This window comes from Homo sapiens, chromosome 12 (genome assembly GCF_000001405.40).
Source record: "Homo sapiens chromosome 12, GRCh38.p14 Primary Assembly".
In the NCBI taxonomy this organism is placed as follows: Eukaryota; Metazoa; Chordata; class Mammalia; order Primates; family Hominidae; genus Homo; species Homo sapiens.
In genome coordinates this window covers 78049176-78067630 of record NC_000012.12, presented here as the reverse complement: position 1 = coordinate 78067630, position 18455 = coordinate 78049176, and the positions used below count along the sequence as shown (strand labels likewise).

The 18455-nt window shown below is 36.6% G+C and overlaps 1 protein-coding gene across 31 annotated transcripts in view; it reads right to left on the bottom strand.

Moving 5' to 3' along the window:
• Nucleotides 1-18455, bottom strand: part of NAV3 (neuron navigator 3) — a 641149-nt gene that overhangs the window by 145380 nt on the left and 477314 nt on the right. For all 31 annotated transcript variants that reach the window (XM_017020166.3, XM_047429817.1, XM_047429823.1 and 28 more), the window contains 3 exons: nt 17530-17638; nt 16484-16867; nt 8516-8635 (listed from right to left, as the gene is read on the bottom strand). In XM_017020166.3, the coding sequence (XP_016875655.1) occupies nt 8516-8635; nt 16484-16867; nt 17530-17638 (613 nt within the window). The remainder of the gene's footprint in view (nt 1-8515; nt 8636-16483; nt 16868-17529; nt 17639-18455) is intronic.

Below are 18455 nucleotides of genomic sequence, written 5' to 3'. Positions count from 1 at the left end.
GATTGAGCACAGTGATTGGCAGAGAGTAGGTTCTCAACATGTGGATGTGGTATGAATTAATTTCCTAAGGGGCATTATAAAAAAGTACTGGAAGCCTCTGAGGTTATTCACAATGGGCACAGTTAATTTTAAGATTTGAAGAGAAGTCCAGAACCTGTTCATATTCTTGCAATCATGAGCAGAATGGCAAAGGGAATTTGAGAGGGCATCAATAACAGTTTTTCCACGTCCCTATTATTTTGCATTGGTCTCTTAGAGTAAAGAAATGTGGGCAGAAAAGGCAGGCCATCTGATTATAAAATGAAGTAATTATATTTACTTTGTCTCTTTCCATCTCAGCCTGTTAATCTTTATTGTGTTTGCTTTTAATTACTATGGAGAGCCAGTAAGCTAATGAAGGAAATAGTTAAGACATGGGAGTATACTAATTCTGTGATTGTACTGGAACAAATCAACATGGATAAAATGAATGATTAGTTTACACACACTAGTGACAAGCATCATGAACCTGATCCCAGAGATATTTGCTTGGCGGCTTAGGAAAAATCTCTGTTGCCTTTACTTTTCCTAGTTGGAAAAGGCTTGGAAATCATAAAGGTCTCCCACCCTTATAACTGATGCCCCCATGATTTCATGAGAACTGGCATGGTGCCCTTTGTCATGGCAATGTAATTTTCTGCACATTGCTAACAATTGCAGACTTAGATATTTAGTGTTAACTATGTATTTAGATTTGAACTTAGGCCTGCTTCAATATATGATGAGTTACAATGGCAACCTCAGAGTCACATAAAAACATGACAATCTTTAATGCCTTTTGGAAACTGTGATTTCAGCATCTGGATTATAGTTTCACAAATCAAAACAATCCATCAAGTAGTACAATACAAAAATAATTTCTATGATGTATTATGCTTTTATACTTTCAATAAAAGCATGATTATATATGAAAATAGTATAAATGTGAAGTTATATTGATTAGTTTATAATTAAAATTAGCAATCACTATATTTAGGAATATAGTTTAGATAACAATGTGACAGACAACCCAAAATATAGCTTGAAAGGTATCTTTGTTACCACAAGTTGTAGAATTTTGTTCATATTCAATATAATATATGGTATCTGGAGCTTTGCCTTTCTCTCCTTTGAGATTCATTTTGCCATCATATTGACTGAATAGCTACCTGGATGAATCATCTACGTAACCTAATTTTGACTTCTATTATCATTCTACTTCAGTAACCCAGGTTATAGCTTGCAATTTGTTCAACCAGTCAGTAAATCTCTACCTCTCAAATGTGAAATTTATTATTATTTTATTTTATTTTGTGGTAAAAACCTTCTAATCAACCTCTTTGATCCCCTTCCTTTCATTAAACATGCTCAGGGACTTCAAGGTAATGTTTTCAGAAGCCTTTATCAAGGTGCCAGCAGATTTGTGTCTGAAGAGGGCCTGATTGCTGGTTCATAGGCAGCTGACTTTTTGATGTAACCTCATATGGCAGGAGAGGCTAAGGGGCACTTGCTAGTGATTTCTTTTCTAAGGACACTAATAGCATTCATGAGAGCTCCACTCTTGTGATCCAATCACTTCCCAAAGACCTTACCTCCAAATATCATCACAAGGGGGACTAGGTTTTAACACATGAATTGTGGAAAGGAGATAAATGTTAAATCTACAGCAGTTCTAGTAATCTTTTCCCAGATTCTTCTATCTTCCTTAAGACTTATCACCTTATTTTGTCTAGGAATTCACTCTCTGTACCAGATCAAATTCCTTTCTCCCCAAAACAAAACAGAGCAAATCAGCAATAATCTTCATCCTGTCCCTTTTGTTGACTTCTATCTGATCTTTCTCCTTACCTTCCCTGCAACTTTCCTGAAGATCTCCCTTTATTGTTTCAACCTCCTAACTTCTTCACCTTTTCATAACCTAGCATGCTCCTTCAGTATTTCATTGAAACTAACTTTGATAAAGCCACTGATAAGAAACTAGTTGCCAGTTGTCAAACATCACTTATCCATGGAATTGTATAGTATTGCATATTTCCTCTTCTCTCCATTTCAAAAAATATCAGCTAACCCTGGTTGTCCTTTGATCTTTGTGTTAAAGCTGATTTCTCTGTCTCTCCAATGGTTGTTCTTCCTTTATTCACTCTTTCAATGCTAAGAATTCATTCTCAGGGCTTGTTTTCTTACTGTACATTTGAGATACAAATGTTCCTAGCTTGCACAGTGCAGAGTCACAGAGTGGTTTAAACAAAATTTAATTCATTACTGTCATAATCGGCCTCAGGCAGGCAGGAGGCCAGCTCTACTGAGTGATGCTATGGCTGGGAAGCTGACTTTAGATTTGTGCTGTCTTGCATTAAAATCTCCAAAAAGAGCTCAGATAGTTTTGCCACAGTTACCTCACCTGCTGGGCAGGCTTCTCATGACTGGTGGAATTTTCACTCTGCACAGGTGGTATCATCACCAGCTCTATCTCGGTGAGAAACTTCAAGGAACTAGGACAGTTACAGGACCATGAGTGCAATCTTCACTCTCTCCTGCTTTATATAACCATGTCTGTGAATTTCTAGATTTTTCTCCCACTGAAGAAAGTTTTTTGTCTTTAACTGTATCTATTGATCTTACGTATCTGTTAGGAGAGTTCTAATACTTAAAAATTGGGAAACTTCTCATAAGAGTCCAGACTCTTGGCTTCACTTGAAAAACAAAATCAAATGGTTTGGCAATCCCTGGCTCTCTTTTCCACATTTACGCATTTCCAAAGGCAGCAATTTACAATATAAATATGCATATATACAATCTAGAGCTTGTATACGAGCTAATTTTGTATACACTCGTATATATGATCTAGATTATATATATGATTATTATACATACTAATACTTTAATCCAGCACATATATAGTGACTGACCTTATATCCCCAAGGACATATCCACCTGGGAGTTACACAGGGTTATGAATTGAATTATGTCTCCACCCCCTAATTTATATGAATTTTTAACCTGCAATGTGACTGTATTTGGAAACAGGACTTTTACAGAGGTAATTCAGGTTAAATTAATACATAAGGGTGGAATCCTAATCTAATAGCACTGGTGCCCTTATAAGAAGAGAGAGGGACACCAAAGACCTCTCTCTATATAGACAGACAGGCAGGCAGGCAGGCAGGCAGGCAGGCAGGCAGGCAGACAGACAGACAGACAGACAGACAGACAGACACAGATAGATAGATGTCTCCAGGAGCACAGAGGAAAGGCCATGTGAGAATACAGCATGAAACCCACTCTCTGGAAGTCAGGAAGAGTTCTCATCAAAAAACAAATTTGCTGACACCTTGATCATAAACTTCTAGCCTCCAGAACTGTGAAAAACTAAATGTCTATTGTTTAAGCCACTCAGTCTGTGGTATTTAGTTATGACAGCCAAGGATTATCATACACATAGACAAAACCCAAGTTCCTCTAGAAATAGATGGTGTCCCCAGCCCCCTTCCCCACTGCCATTCTTTAGTTAGGTGCTCATCTAATTTATTTTAGTCACTTTCTAAGCACTCTACCTGTCTTTATCTCATCCCTCTTCAATGTTCTTACATTGCTATGAGAGTTCCTTTTAAAATACAATGATTATAGCATGTGCTTTTGCCTTGAAATGAAATAAAACTAATTAAACTTAGTAAAATAGCTCCTTATCACCTATAGGTCCAAACACCCTAGTATGGCCCCCAGGTCCTTTGTCTCTCGTCTCCTTGTCCACATTCCCAGTGCACTTCAGAATCCCATTACTGGTTCCTCACACCAAACTCTTCTATGCCTTTATGCTCTCACTCCCCACATTCCTTCTGATTTCTCCCAGGCTGGATGTCAAAAAGTTGTATGCTTTCTTTAAGACCCTGCTTAAATGCTACTGTGTTTTGAAGTCTTTCCTTTATACTCCCAGGTAGGAGTAACTGTTTCTCTTTGGTGCTTCTAAGGCACATTGTATAGACATCTATTAAGAGGGGCCTTTGTTTACATTACTCTCTCTTACCATTAAACTGAGGAACTTTCACCCATACTGTTTTGTTTTATTTTTACCCAAGGTGCTACTATGATGACAGGCACTTAGGAAGTAATCATATATTTGTTTATAAAATATTTGTGATTGTTAGCATAGAATCTAGAGTAAGAACAATAATAGGAGTTAATAAAGGTCAAAACCACAATCATCCTGCAGTCCCCAAAAATGTACCCTTTAAACATAGCCCAACACAATGTATAAAACCCACATATTTAACTGCCAGCTATAAATGTATCTGTGAAGTTGCTGGAGAGTCTCCAACATATCTGCAAGGATTATACCCATTCTGCAATCTTTTTTTTAGTCAAGTAAATACAGAAATGGGGTTGGTGTTGGATTGATATGGAAAGTAAATGAACTGCAATATCTTTAAGCAATAAAATATTTAAAATATACTACAGATGGCTGCTGAAAGTCCTCATTTTTCCTTTGGGGCCTTTTTAATGTGCTGGTAAGAGGAATTCAGTTGTTCTCTAATGTCCATCACATTTTAACCAGAAGTTGATCAAAGGGAAACTATAGCCTTCACTATAACAATACAAACAATTCAAGTCCATTGCTATGCTAGGTAGCTGGCTGGCTGCCATTGTGCTATGACTCTGCTTTTGCACTTACACAGCTTTTAGAAAGAATAACTAAGAAAAAAAAATGCTGTGGATTTTTTTTTCTTTTGACTTTTAAGCTTTCTTGTCAGTGAATTATTGCAAGCCTTATCATTTACCCATTTACTATAATGAATCAATCACTAATATGTTTCATATTATTTAAAAGACCTTTGGCAAAAGTAGTTGGGAACCACAAAATAGGAAGTAAAAGACCTGAATCCTTGTACTATTAGCTGCATGATTCTGGGTAAATAAATATTTCTGAGTTTCTGCTATTATATTGGAGAAGTGAAGGCATTCAACTAAATCAACATTTCTTAAAATGCTACAGGAACAAGTTAATTATTATCATAAGAGAAAAAAGGGAGGGAATCAGTGATAAAAAAGCTCATGGAGCACTGAATTAAATACAATTAAGCAGATGTTACTTTGAACTTTAAGACTTCTCTGTACCTTTGATATGTTAATATCCATCATTACTCTCTAAGAACAGATATGATATTCAGTTTTTTCAAATGTACACAACCCCAGAAAACTATTTTTGATTTACAATGTCTACTATTGTCTCATGATACAAGAAACACTGGAAAAGTCCAAACTGTATGACATCTGAAAGGTCTTTAAAAAAATGGTATAAAAATTTTTTCATATGTATAATTGTTTTCTTTTTAAACTCACATTTCTATATGTTATAAGCTGATATGGTTATTTCCACAATTTATCTGATATATTTATTGAGTTCCTACAGTATGCTAGCTACTGGTGATAAAAAGATGGATTGGATATTATTCTACATTTAACTGTTTCGTGTTCTATGAGTGAAATAGACATGTAAACATGTAATTACTTATGTGACTGCATAACAGAAAAATCAACGGCATGCTGCAGGAGCAGAGAGAAGATATGCTTTGAAAATAATCTGAAAAATTGCTATGAAAGACTTTTTGGCCTTTAAAATGTGATTTGCTATGTTGTATGGACATAGTTTTTAGTAGAATAAAATTTCCCCAGTTGACATTTTCTGCAATTGTCTTCTAATTCCTACTATGTCAAATTTAAGGTGCCAGGATTAAAAGGTTAAGACAAATAGACAGGAAACATGTTTTTACATGATCTCAATTACAGTAATTTTTTTTTTAGTAAACATGAACAAAAAAGTAGTATCTTATATCTGTTCTTGCCTATCCTACTTGAAATGGATAACAGAATTTAGAAAAATTTTTGAAACAATTTTTCATAGAAGGAAGTATTTTAAATTAACTGAAAGAGTCATACAACTACAACATTTAAGACCATGTATTTTAAAATGATATACATCCCGAGTCACTTCCTGAATATAAGATTTTAAAAGACCTTCAGACTTATCTGTAATTTTTTTAAAAACCTTCTATCTCTGCTAATAGGAGGATTTATACTATGACCTTTTTGCAATTTAATTTATGCAAGCAGCTCAAGTTAAAATTATTCTTTTAAAAATGACTTATATAATTCTCAAAAACTGCATCTACCAAGCTGAACCAATTTATTTCAGGTATAACAAGTCATTATTTGATCTAATTTAAAAATTAGTGCCATCAGTGTATTCTAACATATCAATATTCTCATTATCTTGACAGAACACAGCTAATAGGGTAAATAAGAACTATGAAATGTCATTTTTAATGTTGAAATATTTATGCTAGGCGTTACATGTATTTATAGGCCTGGCATCTATTTGTTCAACTTAATATAGTGATGCTTGAACTTAAGAATCACCTTGAGGGCTAGTTAAAGCTCAGATTACCAGGCCTTACCTTGAGATATTCTAATTCAGTAAGTCTTGGATGAAGCTGAGAATCTGTCTTTCTATGAAGTTTCAATGGCTGCTGCTGCTGCTGCTGCTGGTCCAGGTACCACACTTTAAGAGGCACTGTTTTCACAGGTCCCAATTTATTAGATACCTATCTAGGTCTTTACGTTGTTCTGAGTTCCTCTGCCAGAGCCCAGTCTGGGGCCCTGATGGAGCAAGGAGAGTTGATTATCCCACTGTCCCCAAACCAAAGTCACCTTGTGTTCATTTCTTGGTTCTGCCATCACAACATCCTTTACCAAAAACTAGCAGATATTCCCTCCCATGACGTTTTCTACTTTCAGCTAACAATAATAGAATAATAGGTCATTAGTTTCAAAATGTGGCCCACACTTTGGGATTCTTTCCCTCTTATCACTGTCTCCTATTTTTCACATAACTCATTTTTCTCTTTCATAACATCCTTGTAGTACCTTAGTTCTTTCTGGAACTCATTTACCACTCTATTTAATTAGATGCGATTGCCAGCCTATGTGACTATATTGCCTAATTAATAAATAGCCTATATTCATTAATTTGTTCATTCACTCCACAAACATTTGTTAAAACTCAACACGTAAAGAATATGACAAAAATTCTGCACTCATGGACTTACATTACAGGTGGGGAGATGCTTCACACACACACATACACATGCTTCACACCCACACCCACACACAAGAGTATATAGGCTAGGAGAGTAGGATACAGACAGGGTGGGAGCTGAGACTGTTCTAACCACTATGAGTCAGGATATCAACAGCCTGTGGGTAAGGAGAAACTGAAGACTAATATTAGAATTCCCTGGGTATCTAGCCTTTGGAGTTGACTGTACAAAAATGCACAATGAATTGTATACAGTTCCTATTTCAGAATGTGAGTACATTGCACCTTAACCTTTTGTCTTTTTCATAAATGCTGAATTAAACAACTACTCTAGGTATTTAGATATAATAATTCTGAAAATATGCAATCCCTTCCTGCTCAACAAAGTCAAAATTCTGAGTGAAGAGGGAGCAAAATCAGGCCAGAAATGTATATTACAACATTATCTTACCAAAGCAATGTTCTTAAACAGTGATGATTCTGATAAATCAGCAGAGCAATTTCCAGCAAAATAATTAGTTCATCACACACACACAGACACACACACACACACACACATCTTTAAGAAATTTGAGGCAATAAAGAAGCAAAAATAAGCCTAAAGTAAGAGTTTTTCTATGTTTACAACACCTTCAAGGAAAGCATCAAGCTTATTATACTAGATGATTTGAAATATATTTTAATCTTTATATCATTAGCTTCCAGGTAAATCTGAGGATATCTGAACTGAATGAAACTTATTAACCAGAGTTTCTTTCTAACAAGGAAAATAAGTCTATGTTTATAATTCTGCTTTTATAGATATTAACATTTGCAACTATGTTACCTGAAATTAAAAAAAAATCTCCCCAGCCATACATTTATTTTTGGTATTACAGAGCTAAAATGGCCTTGTAAAGAAAATCATCCTAGTTTTAAAAATATCCCCAAATAGGCGGGGCGTAGAGGCTCATGCCTGTAATCCCAGTACTTTGGGAGGCCGAGGCGGGTGGATCACAAGGTCAAGAGATGGAGACCATCCTGACCAACATGGTAAAACTCCATCTCTACTAAAAATACAAAAATTAGCTGGGCATGGTGGTGCGTGCCTGGAGTCCCAGCTACTCAGGAGGCTGAGGCAGGAGAATCACTTGAACCCAGGAGGCAGAGGTTGCAGTGAGCTGAGATTGCACCATTGCACTCCAGCCTGGTGACAGAGCAAGACTCTGTCTCACACACACAAAAAAAACGAAAACAAACAAACAAACAAAAAAACCCTAAATAATTATTTATCAAAATAAAATAATTATTTATCAAAATAAAAAGTCCTTTGATTTACACTGTTTAATAGGAGTTTTCTGTTATTTTCTTATTTATAAAATTACTTCATGCATGTCTCACCATCATATATGCTGATAGCATTACCTGTCTGCATCCACTGTCACATCGTGAACCCCTCTCTGGATGATGTCCCGGGAAGTTGCTGTGTCTGGTATTCGGTTCAGACTTCTAGTATATAGGTTAAGTCCTCCATCTGTCATGTACCTGAAAAGAAATGTCTAATTAATTCACAGAAAACTAAATCAACTCAACTGTACAATTTAACTTAATAAACAAACGGTGTCCACAATTTTCAATAATTACTCAAATATATTCTATTATCTTGTTTTTTATTCTGTATAAACATTCTACTCACCAGGGATAATTAAAATATTTTTTCAAGTTTACTAGGAAATCAATATTTCCTAGTATTTGTATCAATATTTCCTAGTAGTAGTTACTGCGACAAGTAACTAGCCTACCATAGAACCTATTTTTCCCTTTTGTTATTAATATTATGAATAGGCTTGCAGATAATATAACTCTTAAGAAATTAAAAGAAAGAAAATTTCATTTTTGAAATACTGTTTTTGAAGAGGTCATAGGAGTAATGGATCAAAACCTAAACTTCCACCATATCTGCCATCTTCCTAGAATTCTATGTTTTTATATTTAATACCTCATATCAGCTGCTGTCACTGCACTGTCACAACTAGCTGTGTCCCCACCCAACTCTCACCCTGAATTGTAATAATCCCCATGTGTCAAGGGAGGGGGCAGATAGAGATAACTGAATAACGGGGATAGTTTTCCCCATATTGTTCTCCTGGTAGTAAGTCTGACGAGATCTGATGGTTTTATAAATGGGAGTTCCCTTGCACAAGCTCTCTTGCCTGCGGTGTGCCATGTAATATGTCCCTTGACTTTCCACTATGATTGTGAAGCCTCCCCAGCCATGTGAAACTGTGAGTCAATTAAACCTCTTTCCCTTATAAATCACCCAGTCTCAAATATGTCTTTATTAGCAGAGTGAGAACACACTAATAGAGCCATCTTCCTAGAATTCTATGTTTTTATATTTAATATCTCATATCAGCTGCTATCTGTCACAATTAGTTAATTTGTAATTGCATGCACACACAGAGAATCTAAAGTGATCCTCACCACTCCCTTAAAGAAACTCCAGTTCAGCATCTTCCTTTAGAGTGGCATAGATAACATTTAAAAATGCCCCTTACATTAAATGTGCTAGCTACAAAATCCATGCTGATAACAAATGATTGCTGTGAACCTTTTTTAAATGATTGTTTGGAAAAAAATCAGGCACCTAGGAGAGAAACCCTTACATGTAGACATGCAGACAGTTTCCTAAGGTCAGTGTGTAAGGATGGTTGAGTGTAGACCAGAGCCAGACTGCTTAGGTTCAACTACAGTGCTGCTACTTACTAGCTGTGTGGGCTGAGGTAAGTCACTTAAACAAGCTATGTTTAAATTGCTTCATCTGTAAAATGGAAACAGCAATGATATGCTCACTTCTTGCAGTGATGGTGAGCTACCAGTGAGTTAATATATATATAACATGCATACAGCATTGTCTAGCACATTGTAAGTGACATATAAATACTATCTTTAAAAATACTAGCTATTTTATGCATTAGAGTTTCTAGAGTCACTAAAATAGCTCATATCCTGAAAGTGAAATTAGAGGAAGCATTAAGATTAGGAATCTGTGGTGCAAAAGATGGATCTTTTTAACACAGCTCAAGTAACTCTGACCTTTTGCACACTGTTATGCATACTTCAGTCATCACAAAGTTTACTAAATGAGAATTGAGGGAGGATCAAGGCAGAAGCAGGATTAAAGTATATCTACCCCTCACTTCTGTGCCTTATTTTTAATTTTTACTCCACAGAATTCTTAGATTAGTTTGTGTTTGGTCACGTGACTTAAAGTAGAATTTTAGGTTATATTCTTGGCCCAACTATTTATTACTGTGACACCTGAAGATAACTTCAATTTCCACTCAATTAAAATATGTAACTTTTATCCCAATTTTCCAGGGTGTTTTTAACTTCATAAATAGAGACTTTTCAAAGAGGTTCATTATGAGTAAGAGGCCTTTCTCTGACTAATTCCTAATTACTGACAGATTCATATCCCCCAGTGTTTAAAGTAAATTCAAAAAGAGGAGAAAGAGATAAGCCTTCGCATGCTTCAAGAAATTTTGAATTCTCAGAATGCTGATTAACTAACTTTCTGAGTTACACCTAGAGTACATGGAAAAAAATGAAACTTTATTCCCATTTAAATGACTTCATGACGTTCTTCGTGGTTACATGAGAAAATCCTAAATTAAACATCTTCATTCATTACTACCTTATTGAGCCTTTTGTTCCTTTAATCTTTAAAACATATTTTTAAACATTTTGAAAAGAGAGTTAAATTTATGATTCAACTTTTTCATGACTCGTAGCATAAATACGTTTTTTTTGAGATAGAGTCTCACTCCGTTACCCAGGCTGGGGTGCAGTGGTGAGATCTCGGCTCACTGCAACCTCTGCTTCCTGGGTTCAAGCAATTCTCCTGCCTCAGCTTACCAAGTAGCTGAGATTACTGGTGTGCACCACCATGCCCAGCTAATTTTTGTATTTTTAGTAGAGATGAGGTTTCACCATGTTGGCCAAGATGGTCTCGAACTCCTGACTTAAGGTGATCTATCTGCCTCAGCCTCCCAAAGTGCTGGGATTACAGGCATGAGCCACCATACCCGGCCAGCATAAATACTTCTAAGCCCCCTTTTCTTAAAGAAACACCATCAAATTAAACTTTTCCTGGGTATCTCCAGCCCTCTTGTCTTCTCACGTTTTAATTCTAGGCTGAGATTTTGGGGCTGCCTCCTACGTAAGCCAACAAGGGCACACTGCATAAGCTGATGAGCAATAAGTCCAGCACATCCTGGGTATCCTCGCACAATCATCCTTGAGCTAAGACCAGCCTCATCATCTGCTGATCAGATCTTAGCATCTTCCGCACAGGTAAGAGAACTGAGTCATGACTTAAATTTCAGTGTCTTGTACTCTAACATAGGAAAGAACAAATGTATGTGAGTAAACAGGGGAAGTTTCATGTAGGATTTGAGGTATTTTTACTTGTCAACATAAGACATGTAGACCATCAATGCATATTTAAATGGACTCATTTGTGAGACTATCCAAGACTTTTTTGAAAGATGTTAGGGAACAAAAATAGAGGAAACAAGAAGTCTGAATCATGTTTTAAATGAAGCAGAAACAAATAAGAAGGACAAAGTCTATAACAGCATTTTTTAAAAAATTAGTGAGTTCAGCAGAGACTAGCCAGATGTCATCAAACCAATTTCCCTCTCCTCCTGGGCACACAGCTGAACCATATAACCTAGTCTCTTTTACAGTCAGATGTGGTCATGCAGCTGTTCTAGACAAATGAATGCAGGCAGAACTCATATGCATGACTTCCAGGCCTGATACATACAAAATCTTCTCACACCCTGGGTCTTCCCCTCTTTTGCCATTTGCCTGTTGAATATCAATGCCTAGGGTAACACTGGAAATCTGGCTGGGTAACAACAGAATTACCATCCATCTTATTCTCTGAATGACTACATGGAGTGCATTCCCCAGGTGAAGATCAGAAACATCAGCGAGGGTTTTATGTGAAGAACAAATTAGCTTCTTTGTGTTAAGTTACTGAGATTTTGAGATTTCTCTGTTTTCGAAATCAATGTTAACTAATATAGTTAACATATTATGCATGTATTCTTGCATATATTGCATGTATTCTTGCAAAATATAAAGTGCTCCTGAGTACAATATGCCTGTAACATATATTATTATATGCAGAATTCAGTTGTTAAAAAACGTTTAAAACAACTATCTGTTTAAGAATACTTCTCTGTGTGTATATATATGTATATATACACATATGTGTGCATATATATGTATATATACACATATGTGTGCATATTACAATTAATTTACTGAATAACTGGACTGCTACAAAAATATGAAAACACCATCATGTGAGTCACATGTGGGCACGTACTATGTCTATATTATTCACTACTGAATGCACAGTGCCTGGAATGTTGCTTGACACATAGGATGAACTCGATAAATATTTTTAATAGACATATACATGTATACATACATATATACATAATTCAGTTTATGATCCCTGTTCTTTCCATATTCTTTTCCCAGGAGCCTTAATGCCTCCCACAATTCCTGCTCTCTTTTATTGAGATGAAATACAATAGATCTCTATCCTGGACAAACAATCTTCATATCTCACCGTCTCCAGCTCTACATCTCTAACTCTAAATTCATCATCTCTCTCTCTGCTTTCTCATCAAAAAATCCTCTCTCTCTCGCTCTCTCTCTTTCTCTCTCTGCCGATTTTCTCTAACGGTACTATTTTCCATCTCCTGTGCTTATGATGTAGGTATCTTAATTCTTGTCTGCCTTATGCCTTCATGGGTAGTCCATCTCTGGTTCTATAAACTTTTCCTTTGCAGTGCTTCCCATATCAATTACTTTCCTAATTTTATCCCTACAAATGCCACTACCATATTTCTAATCTTATGAGCTTGAGCCAGAGCTCTTGCACTAGTTCCTGAAATTGAACCCCCGAGTTTCTCCCCTGAATTCACTTTGCATATTTCCTTCCCATAAAGTGGCCTTCAAAAGCCATCACCATCCTCATGCCATGTTCTATGACTGTTTAGTAATCTCTAAGATATAGTATTTTACATAGCTTATAATGTAGTTTAAACTTCTTAGCATAATGATGTTAAGGTCTGTCAAAATAGTGCCTATCTCTAAGACATTATCTTTAAATATTCATGTTCCATGACTCTCAGTTAAGAGAAAAATCATCAATATCATCTAATCCACTGTCCCTTTGATTCTGAAAATTACATTTTATGCAAGTTTACTGAATAATTTATACCTTCTATGTTTGTACTTTTCTTATATATGTATTTTAAATATATTTCCTTTGTCTATAGCTCTTAAATCAGAAAAAATAACTAAAATGTTTCTTTTTCTTATTCACTGCTTTCTATTTCATGTGAGGGTTTAGTACTTTCTCCTCATTCTGAACTCTTAGCTCAATTTTTATCCCTATAAGCCTTTTGAAATTCCCAACATATTGCACTGTAGATGTCCCTTGATTTCTTATTCAAACTGCTCCCAAGATATGCTGTCACTCTACAGATAAACATTCTACATGAGTGTGAGTATATATTGTCAATCATCATTATTCACAAATTCTATATTCGTGAAGTTGCCTACTTGCTAAAATTTATATGTAGCCACAAAATCTAAACTCGTAGCACTTTCACAGCCATTCATGGATATGAACAGAACCGTGAAAAAAAATGAGTCTCAGACGTTTCCAGCTAAGGCTAAATAAAGTGATACTCTGTGTTCTTGTATCAGCTCTAATATCACAACAAATGTTCTTCTATGGCCTATTTAGTGCCATGTTTTCCACATTTTTTGTGTTTTTATGCTGAGAATTGTGCTGTTTAAAGTGGCCCCCAAACTTGGTGCTGAAGTGTCATATTATGTTCCTAATTGCAAGCAGTCTTCAATGCATCTCACAGAGAAAATATGCACTAGATAAGCTTCATTCCGGCCTTAGTTATAGTGCTGTTGGCTGGGAGTTCCACGTGAATGAATCAATAGTATGTATTAAATAAGGTGTCTTTAAAGAGAGACTTACGTAAAGCAAGTTTATGTATTGATCAGTTGACAAAAATATTGTGGCCAAATGCTCACAGGAACCAAAACCTATATCTCTACTAGGGGCAATAGTTCAGGATTCACTAATGCAGTGTTTGTGGTGACTTCATAGAAGAGAAGTACCATGAATAATGATATTGAGTGCACATAGGTATATATACATACATACACATACATATACATACATACATACATATATATATTATATATATATATATTTTTAGACGGAGTCTCACTCTGTCACCCAGGCTGGAGTGGTGCAGTGGTGCAATCTCAGCTCACTGCAACTTCTGCCTCCCGGTTTCAGGTGGTTCTCCTGCCTCAGCCTCCCAAGTAGCTGGGAATACAGGCACAAGCCACCATGCCTGGCTAACTTTTTTAGTAGAGATGGGTTTTTGCCATGTTGGGCAGGCTGGTCTTGAACTCCTGACCTCAGGCGATCCATCTGCCTTGGCTTCCCAAAGTGCTGGGATTACAGGCATGAGCCACCGTGCCCAGCCTTGGTATATATATCTTTATATATATTATATGGGTATACTTATGTATATAATTAGCCATATAAATATATTTGAATAGTGATTATAAAATTGAATTCACACATATGTCCACATCTAAGGAGATTGAGAAAAAAAAGAGAAGAGGGGATAGAGTGGAAAGAATGGAGAAGAAAGAAGAGAGAGATGGGAGAAAGAGTGTGCCTTAGACACTCTTGCTTTGCCATTATGTTTTCTGAACTGGGCATTGCCTCCTAGGCTATGTTAAATACATACAAAAATGATAATTATAACTAACAACAACCAAAAATTGGTATGGTTATTAATGATAATAAATGTAATAGTGATGATAAAGAGGAAGATGATAAATTTATTGAGTGCTTGTATCATGCCAAGCATTGCGCAAACTAAAATTTGTGGATGATCCTAACAACTTCATGAAGATGGTACAATTTTATCCTTATTCTAGATGACAAAAACTAATTTGGATACGTTAGGTTCCGAAGGGGTCCACAGATAGTGAATGGGAGAGATTCAAACTAGGCACTCTGAATCCAGTGGCAACTGAACAACAACCTATCTTAATTAATCATAATTAGTCTCTATAATTCTAAATTTTTAGAAAGTCAGGTAGGGTGGATACCAGGAATGGACTAGTAGGTATTGGGATATCAGAGCAAAGCTATAAATGTAATCAAAAGCTATTTTGTACTCTTTTTTAGGTCGTGTCACCCTTCAAACATAAGCTTTTCATGAATGAAGTCAGGAAGGGTCACTTATATAGAAGAATTATTTCCTACATGGGTCCTCTCAGATGCGTAAAGACAAAGAGTAAGTCAAAATCCAGACTCACACAAAGTTTATAGACAAAGTTAATTGGGAAGCTTTTCCACATATTACTGAGCCTGTGTTTGAAGTCAGACATAGCTGAGTTCTAATGCAGGTCTGCCGTTTCCCTAGCGTTAGTTCCCAGCCGGGGCCAATTAGACTCAGTTTCCTTATCCATAGAACATGTATAAAAACATCTACCTCATAAACATTGCTGGTGGTGGGAAGGAAAAGTAAAACAATATCTTCAAAGCACTTGACAAGAGCATAGTACATAACAGGAAATGCTAAAAATGGCAATTACAATTATTAATAGAATATCCTATTGCCTCCTTTTGGACCTATTCTCTGATTATGCCAAATATCCCAAATTGTTAATATACTCTAAGAGTTTTACAATCACAACATGTTTTGGAATGTAATAGGACACAGAAGAAAAACAGGGTCTGAGATGTATTGAAATCTGATACCATCAAAAGAAAATGAATAGAGTGAAACTTTCAACTCCAAAGTGATTTTTCCCTCAAGTTAAATTGGGGATGCATAATTGAAGACAGTAAGAAAATATTTGTTTCTCAAAGCAGTTACAGGCAGCTTCTAACAAGCTAAAAAAGAAAAAAAAAATCAAGCAAATCAGCAAAACTCCTCCTGTCTCCTTCCCACGTCCTTAACTACAAAATCTGTTACTTAAGAAGCATGTGAAAATCACTCTGAAAAACAGAAGCCACATGTGTTTCTCTCAACAACAGAAAAACTTAGCGGCTTATAATGAATTTATAGAAATCTTGGATTCTTTACTCTCCATGAATGAGCAGAGGAAGGGCCCTTCAACACTCTGAATAACCTCAGATATCTCATATGTTCTCATGACTTTCTGGGCAAACTTACACATTTGTTTATAGTGAATGCATTATAGTAGACCACCTCCCCTCTTCACACAATGCTGACGGAGAACAGGGTTACTTACCCACTGTTGATGTCATCAGTCCTGAGACTTTTCCCAAGGATATCACCATCACTCATATATCCACCCACATCGACCTCAGAAGACATGTCCAGGTCACTGCTTGCTTTCTCACTCATGTCAATCTGTGACATGTTTCCCAGCCTAGAGACAGCAGCTCGACGGAGAGGCGTGGTATACATGAACCTCGAGGGGTCTGTGTGGATGAATCGACTGGTACCACTGCGAGGATAGCCAGCACCCAGGGAGGGAGCATCTCCCGCCTGAAGTCGCGGACATGCCTGGCCCAACCTCCAGGTCATGGGGGTGGGTCGACTTGTCAAGTTGGGTATGGTCCTTCCATTAACTTCTGTTGTCACAGTGCTGTCAAATGTTGTCTCCAGGGTGCTGTCAAATAAAATGGAGAAATAACTATACTCTGGTTCACTTAGGGCCATAATCTAGAATGCATGAAGACAGAAAAGGCTGGAGTTGAGGGTCATCTCTTATAAACACGTCATCTTCCCGAAAGCTAAACTCTATATTCATTTTGAGGTCAAATTGTGGAAAGGGGCATACATTTTATAGCTTTTCGTTTGTTTTCAAAAGAAAGGCCATCAGTACACCTTGGGTAAAACAACATATTGTTTTACATTTTCAACAAATCCTTAACTCACTGTAACCTTCCCAGACCTATTCTGAAAGTTAACTACAATTATGTTTGAATGTCTCCCTACTACCCTGCCCAGATGCATTTCAAGTGCAACTTGTGCCACTGTTTTCTAGGACAGGTATTACAAATCCACTTAACAGTGATGGTGGTAGTTGCAGTACTGGAAATTATACTGAAAAAGACATAAATAGCAGATAGAGATAGAGATAAAAGATAAATAGGTATATACTGTGAATTCTCAGTTTAAGGATAATTACCAATCAATTTGATATAAAACAAGGGAGAAAATAGTAAGGGGAAACTGAAATCCCATCTCTGTCATTATAAGAAAAGTTAAATGTTTGTTTGTAATTATTTTTTCTTTATTGGCTCAAATATATGCAAAATTGAAAAAAACCTGTGGCTTATCTGAGTCCCACGAAGACTGGACATAGTCTCTTCTAAATTCTGCCTCAAGTCTGCTATGTTTTTAACTGTTCTCATTCTTCTTGTTTCAGGGTCTTCACCTAGGAAAGCAATATGATAAATTTGCTATTCATGACATTTAGTATCCTCAAAATAATTGTATACCTAGATAATTAAGTCACCTCTTCTTAAAAGTAAAAGGATATGTAATACATTTCAAATAACTATTATTATCTACAAATTATAATTCTTTCTAGCAATAAAATGTGAATAGAGACAAACATAGTATCACCAGTAATAATTTTAAGTGGTGATAACACTATAATATTTTGTAGATTTGACCTTAAAATAAAAAAAAATCACTTGGAAATATGCTGTTTACTAATCCATGTTGCTGGGATCAATTAAAAATCTATGATTATGACCTGAGAAAGATGGCTGAATAGGAACAGCTCCAGTCTGCTGCTCCCAGTGAGATCAACACAGAAGGCAGGTGATTTCTGCATTTCCAACTGAGGTACCAGGCTCATCTCACAGTGACTGATTAGACAGTGGGTGCAGCCCACAGAGGGTGAGCAGAAGCAGGGTGGGGTGTTGCCTCACCTGGGAAGTGCAAAGGGTTGGGGAACTCCCTCCCCTAGCCAAGGGAAGTCATGAGGGACTGTGCCTTGAAGGACGGAGCTATCCAGCCCAGATACTATGCTTTTCCCACAGTCTTCACAACATGCACACCAGGAGATTCCATTGGGTGTCCACACCACCAAGGGCCTGAGTTTCAAGCACAAAACTGGGCAGACACCAAGCTAGCTGCAGGAGTTTTTTTTTTCATACCCCAGTAGCACCTGGAATGCCAGTGAGACAGAACCATCCACTCACCTGGAAAGGGGGCTGAAGCCAGGGAGCTAAGTGGTCTAGCTC